Below are 6,830 nucleotides of genomic sequence, written 5' to 3'. Positions count from 1 at the left end.
GTTGTGCACTGCAGCAGAAAACTACACATTATCTACAGCACACCCTTCCACTTTATGCTTTACATTCTGATTCTATGGGAGCTATTTTAAAACTGAAAATTGTAGGTATCTAATAGGCATGCAAATTCTGTCCCATCTGCCAGAAGTTTACTTCCTGTTCTGTTCCTCCCCTGTGAGGAGGTGAGTGTGCTTCCATTTGTAATTCATTTCAAGATCCCTTTACTCTATATAAATTTGTGCTTTTATGACTCTTCCTTTGTACAGGTTGTGTATCTGCTGGCTCCATCATGAGTAAACAAAATTTCTAACATTTTTATGTTTGTATGAGAATCATAATTTTGCCTCTTCCTGAAAATTGTTTTAATAACAGATTTACCTCATTTTGGCTCTGGAGTACTGGAGGTATATGTTCTGTAGCAGGGGTCCACAACCCCCAGGCCATAGACCACTAGCAGCTAGTGGCCTGTTAGGAACTGGGCCATGCAGCAGGAGGTGAACAGTGGGCTAGTGAGCAAAGCCTCATTTGTATTTACAGCCACTCCCCATCACTCGTCTTACCACCCAAACTCTGCCTCCCGTCAGATCAGCAGTGGCATTAAATTGCGCTCATAGGAGCACAAACCCTATCATGAGCTGTGCATGAAGGGGATCTATGTTGTGCACTCCTTATGAGAATCTAATGCCTGATGATCTGTCACTGTCTCCCATCACCCCCAGATGGGACCGCCTAGTTGCAGGAAAACAAGTTCAAGGCTCCCATTGATTCTATATTATGAGTTGTATAAATATTTCATTATCAATTACAATGCAATAACAGAAATAAAGTGCAAAATAAATGTCATGTGCTTGAATAATCTTAAAACTACCCTTTCCTCCCTGGTCTGTGGAAAAACTGTCTTCCACAAAACCAGTCCCTGGTGCTGAAAAAGTTGTAAATCTCTGTTCAATGGTTCATGAAAACTAGGGTTATGTTAGAGTCTGGATATGTCATATAAGCAGATAGAACTGGAAGTTAGGTTTTTTCCCCTCACCGCCCCACTACACACACATACAGTTTAGGTGTGGCCAGTTGCCACACCACACCAAAAACATTCCTTCTTACTCCATCTACTTGTATGGGCACAATTTCTCTCTTATGCCATTTCCTATAAATAGGAGAGAAATCATGAATTTTGTCCCATTGCTTTAACAATTCAAAAGACTTCAGGGCTTAAAATACTAGTTGGGAGAACTAGGTTTTATGAGTTGATAACAGTCTGTTTCCTGTGATTACTTACTTGAATTGTTTTTATTTTACAGCGTAGGTGAAAACACCAACTATTGAATAATAAATTCATCAGATTAAATGTTTGGCATAAAGGAAAGCAATGGGTAGTAATACCAAAATAAGCAATTTAAATCTGATGTTCCCCTGATTGACAAAGCCATTTCTCCTGAGAATATGTCAGGGTCAGTTAAATCTATGAAAATCAGAAATGTCATTCCAGCCTCTCTGCTTCTACAAAGTTCTGCTTCACTGAAGAATCACATCCAAAAAAATATATCTTCTTGGCAGGGCCATTATCTTTCTTGATGAGATATGAGCATATTAGAGTTCATTCTTATGTGAAATTATGGATGGTGTTAGATTGAAAGAAAGATAAAATAAAAATGAATTCATTTCAAACTAACAAGATATGGCATCAGAGATATGGGAGATCAATGGATATGTCTTATACCTTATTTTAATACATAAAAATCAGAAACACCTGGGAAATTTCTTGTGTTCAGGTGGAAAGTAAAAGTCCAATATGTTTAGAAGTATCTGGAGGCCTGATTGCATTTATTTTTGGAATAGTGAGGTACTGTTAATACAAACACTGGTATACTGAGTTTGAAAGCCAGTGTAAGGTAGTTTCACATAAACAACATGTCTCTAATTTTGAGATGCTCTTGTCTTGATAATAATAATGGAGCTTATACTGAAGCATGTGAAGCTTTTTTGGTAAACATTTTTTAATATTTGCTCTTGATTCTATGACTTGACTGAAAATAGAATTTTGATCCTATTGGTTCAGAACATGAGTAGAGACTTAAGTAGAACTGTTACTTTGGGAACTCTCTTCTCTTTCCAGCTCTGAATTTCTCAAATTACTTTTTCTTACAATCTATCATTGTGAATATTCTTTTGTCTGTTTGTACAATAAATGGACCATTGCATCAAGGTTCTGGGATGAACTTGAGAAGCCATATCAGCCTGCAAAGGTCTGAATAAAGCCGAAGTGGAAGATGATTGCCTGTCATTTTTACTTCCTTAACAGAGAGGGGTGATAGTGACCAGGGAGGAGAATAGTACCAGCAAACAAAGTCAGCAAACAAATGTATTTATTGAGCATTGTGTGTGACAAATAATAACTGAGGATTTGATGGTGAAGATTCCGAGTCAAATTTTGTCTTCGCAAAATTGAAGGTTAATGGGAAAGTGAGAAATTAAATAGATTACAAATAAAAGCTTACTTCTCCTCACATCAATACAAACACAGGCACTGCAAGCTCTCTTTTAACCAATTGTTTCAGGGCATTTCCTAGAAAGGTATTTTTTTCCTATGTTTTCAGTGGTGTAAGCCTGATGTTAGCAGACATGAGTTATGCTATTTTCATCTCCATGTTTCTTTTCTCATAGAACCACCATTGATTAATGATGCAGAAAGAGGGACAACCACGGGGAAGTGGGGAGCAGAATAGCAAACAGGAATTGAGGAGGAACTAATGCTGAAGCGGAGAAAGTATATGAAGAGATAAACTGCAATGTTTTTGCTGACTTTTCTGGGAAAAATGGAGCTGAGTGCTCTTAAGACTGTTACGATGTGTAACAGTAAAATCAATACTGATTATACCATTATCTTAAAGTATTACCAATAAAAGAAAAGCATTTCGATTAAGAGGAATTATAGCAGCCTATTCTTAGAAATTCAGAAAAGTGAATGTGATTTTGGTCTCTACTAACATTTGAGTTCTCCAGTAGTAATATGAGCTTCATAACAGAAAGAAACATGCAAGCTGAAGCTGATTTTCTGTGTTCTCCTGCTCCCTTTTTTTGCTGACAAATCTGGTGGCACAGTGAAATCTTTTTTTGAATTGAGGGCAATGGTATTCATCCTTTTAGAAGGCTTATTGGCAAGGTAATGTTAAGTGCTCTTATATAGTTATAAGTCTGGAGTAATCTTTCTTCTTTAATGCTACCATATAAATCAGTCCTAATGCCCCATTAAAATAAATGAACATGTGTTAATGATACCAACTTATGCCTCTTTCCTGAATGGCAATTGGGGCTGGGAATATGGAGCTATTCTGTGTCCAGTGGAATGTGCCCATTGAGACTGGATTGCTCACTGTCATGGGCAAGCTAATCAAACACAGCTCAAACAGAAATCCAAATCAATCTCTTAATCAGTGATTCACTCCAGCAGTTCCCAGCCCCTGCAATCAACCTGGTAATTGCTTCACCTGGAACTGGCTATTGGCACTGGAAAGTTAAGGTCTGGTACATTTTACAAAACCTGATGAATTTCAGAGGGAATTGTTTTTGCATCATTGACAAGAAATTTAACCCTTAGCATAGTTTCCTATTTTTCTTTTTTCCAGGCTGGGTTTCAACCTTGTGAGACAGGAGTTTTTCAGTTTTCCAAAAGAGGAAATTAAGGTTAACAGAAGTTATTTTATCCAAGTCGCATGGCCATTATGCATCACAACCAGAAATCAAGCAACTTTTGTTTTATAGAGTGTGTACTTTCTAACTGATTATCTATAGTCTGTGCTCATCATTCTGAGAGAAGGTTACATGAGAATGCAGCTGAGATGAACAATGTGTGGATAGACTTGTGTAGCACCAACATCCTAGGTTGGAAGAAAATTCCAAAACCTCAAATCCATGCTTCTGCAGCTATTTATAGTTATGTTGATATAACTTGTTAGTACAGATTGATAATGAAAATTAATTACTTGTTATGAGACCGTCCTAGCACATTAACCCCCTCAGGATTTCCACTTAGTTCTGGTAATTTGCTGTGCTTCCTTCTCTTATGTCTTCTGTGTTTTCCCCAAACTCTCAGCATTGACCTTGTGGTTAGCATTCTTTTTGTTGTTGTTTAATTTTTAAAAAAAATTTCCATCTCCCTGGCCTGCCAGGATAATGTGTTTTCTTTTAAATAAGAAAAAATAACATGTTTGCATTTATATGCAAATTTCGCTTTTCCTTTTTTCTAAGTTAATCCAATCATCTGCTGACCATCAAGCTTCATCAAGGTTGTAAAATTGGATGGGTATCTGGAGAACTAAAGTTTGAAGAGGAACAAACTTAAACGGAATAGTACATGCTTGACACCTCTTACAAAGAAACTAATGAACAATTGTTGCATACCTGTCATGTGAGGTTTTGTGCTGGGGTCTAGCAAGTTTCAAAGATGCAGAAGGCAGTGAATCCTTGTCCCTCTGGACAAGGTTGAATCCTGTTACCATATGTTCCCACAGCTTCCCTTGCTTTCCCCTTTGACATTTTTCACGGTTGAAATTATTTCATAAAACCAAACACCGCATATTCTCACTCATAGGTGGGAATTGAACAATGAGATCACATGGACACAGGAAGGGGAATATCACACTCTGGGGACTGTGGTGGGGTGGGGGGAGGGGGGAGGGATAGCACTGGGAGATATACCTAATGCTAGATGACGAGTTAGTGGGTGCAGCGCACCAGCATGGCACATGTATACATATGTAACTAACCTGCACAATGTGCACATGTACCCTAAAACTTAAAGTACAATAAAAAAAAAAAAGAAATTATTTGTTGGGGGCTGGGCATGGTGGCTCACTCCTGTAATCCCAGCACTTTGGGAGGCCGAGGTGGGCGGATCACGAGGTCAGGAGATCGAGACCATCCTGGATAACACAGTGAAACCTCGTCTCTACTAAAAATACAAAAAAATAGCCGGGCGTGGTGGCAGGCGCCTGTAGTCCTAGCTACTTGGGAGGCTGAGGCAGGAGAATGACGTGAACCCGGGAGGTGGAGTTTGCAGTGAGACGAGATCGCACCACTGCACTCCATCCTGGGTGACAGAGTGAGACTCTGTCTCAAAAAAAAAAAAAAAAGAAATTATTTGTCTGACTCTCTTCTTCTAATAGACAATTCCATGAAGGCAAGCATCATGCCCAATCTGCTAGCTGCTCTGCCTATAACAGGGTGCCAGGCACAGGATTGCACTCAACATAGTCAACATCACAGTAGATTTAATTATCAATTATATCAATTATACACTTACCTTGTACAAGATATGATGCTTGACATTATGAGTTAAAAAGAGGCATTACAAACCACTCCTTTATTGTGAACACACAATTTAGTGGGAAAACTGTCAAGATACATAATATTTATTATACTGTTAGGCCGAGCATGGTGGCTCACGCCTGTAATCCCAGCACTTTGGGAGGCTGAGGTGGGTGGGTCACCTGAGGTCAGGAGTTCGAGACCAGTCTGACCAATATGATGAAACCTCATTTCTACTAAAAATACAAAAATTAACCAAGCGTTGGGGGCATGCACCTGTAATCCCAGCTACTTGGGAGGCTGAGACAGGAGAATCAAACCCAGGAGGCGGAGGTTGCAGCGAGCTGAGATCGCGCCATTGCACTCCGGCCTGGGCAACAACAGCAAAACTCCATCTCGAAAAATGTATATATTTATTACACTGTTAAACATGTGATAGTAGTATACACAGAGTGTCATGTGCTGATTAGGTAGCAATATTGTTAATGATAATGTAGTCACCATTGATTGTAACTTAGCAGGTGTGTTACATGCATTATGTGATGTCAATCATATATCCTGCCCTAGACTGCAATCGTTTTAGTTTTTACAGGTGATGACTGGGACAGTTCTAGGCCAAACAGTCACCAAGTGACAGATATGAGATTTGAACCTAAACTGTCTGATTCCAAAGCCAGTGCACTTGCTCCAGAAGCATACTACACTATGTGATCATCTCCAAACCTCTGTAAGAAGGGACAGCTAACCCAGATTTGAGAGTTGGAGTCCAGGAAGTCTCATGAAGAGGGTGATGCCTCAGAAATTGTCAAGGGGTCAGCATTCAGCCAGGTAAATCTTTTAATTAGCAGGAACTACACATGCAAAGGAAAGAGGATTTACATTTCAGGAAGTATAGATAGTGGAGGATACATGACTAGATCACAAAAAGGCTTATTTACTACATGATAGAATTTATTTTTATTTTGCAACTCTAGGAGGAGTTTAAACTGATGGCCTCATGTAATTGGATTTACACATTACTAGAGCAATGGGGTTGGGAGGTAAGGTTTTGTGCAGAGCAGTAGTGAGAATTTTATGCACTTAGCATTTATTTAAGAGATATTTGTTGAGACTGAGCTTCTATAACAAAGAAGGCCTCTGGTCTGTGGAGATAGACAAGTAGCAAGGGAGTAAATAAGATAATTAAGGATGGTGATCTGTTTTGTGATAGGAATGAACTAGATGGTGGAGATGGTAGAAGGCGGTGTTGTAAAGCCTTCAGCTTAGGAAAGTTGAGAGTACCTGTGAGGAAGTGCTACTTGAGATGACATCTGAAGAATGGAGAAGGGACCAGTTACACTGTTCAGGTCCTGAGACCAGCAAGTATGAAAGAAAAAGTCTGAACAAGTTGGAGGAATTGAAGGGAGGTACCTGAAGTAATATGGTGTGAAGGGTGCTTGAATAGATATTGGTATAAAATCATTCAGGGCCATGTTAGCCATAACAAGCAGATGAGAATTTGAATGAGTTTAAGGGTTAATGAGTT

The 6,830-nt window shown here is 39.1% G+C and overlaps 2 annotated features.

Moving 5' to 3' along the window:
- Nucleotides 324-493: an enhancer, noted in NCBI's record as "experimental_83469 CRE fragment used in MPRA reporter constructs". NCBI's record gives its function as "activates a minimal promoter by MPRAs in K562 erythroleukemia cells, with activity observed for the introgressed 5:152494710 or rs75526615 variant allele {active_cell/tissue: K562}" and the evidence as "EXISTENCE:reporter gene assay evidence [ECO:0000049][PMID:34662402]".
- Nucleotide 408: a transcriptional cis regulatory region, noted in NCBI's record as "Neanderthal adaptively introgressed variant 5:152494710 (GRCh37/hg19 assembly coordinates) or rs75526615 in the experimental_83469 CRE". NCBI's record gives its function as "modulates activity of the experimental_83469 enhancer by MPRAs in K562 erythroleukemia cells {active_cell/tissue: K562}" and the evidence as "EXISTENCE:reporter gene assay evidence [ECO:0000049][PMID:34662402]".

Source organism: Homo sapiens, chromosome 5, assembly GCF_000001405.40.
Source record: "Homo sapiens chromosome 5, GRCh38.p14 Primary Assembly".
In the NCBI taxonomy this organism is placed as follows: domain Eukaryota; kingdom Metazoa; phylum Chordata; class Mammalia; order Primates; family Hominidae; genus Homo; species Homo sapiens.
This window is presented reverse-complemented; position numbering and strand designations above follow the sequence as displayed.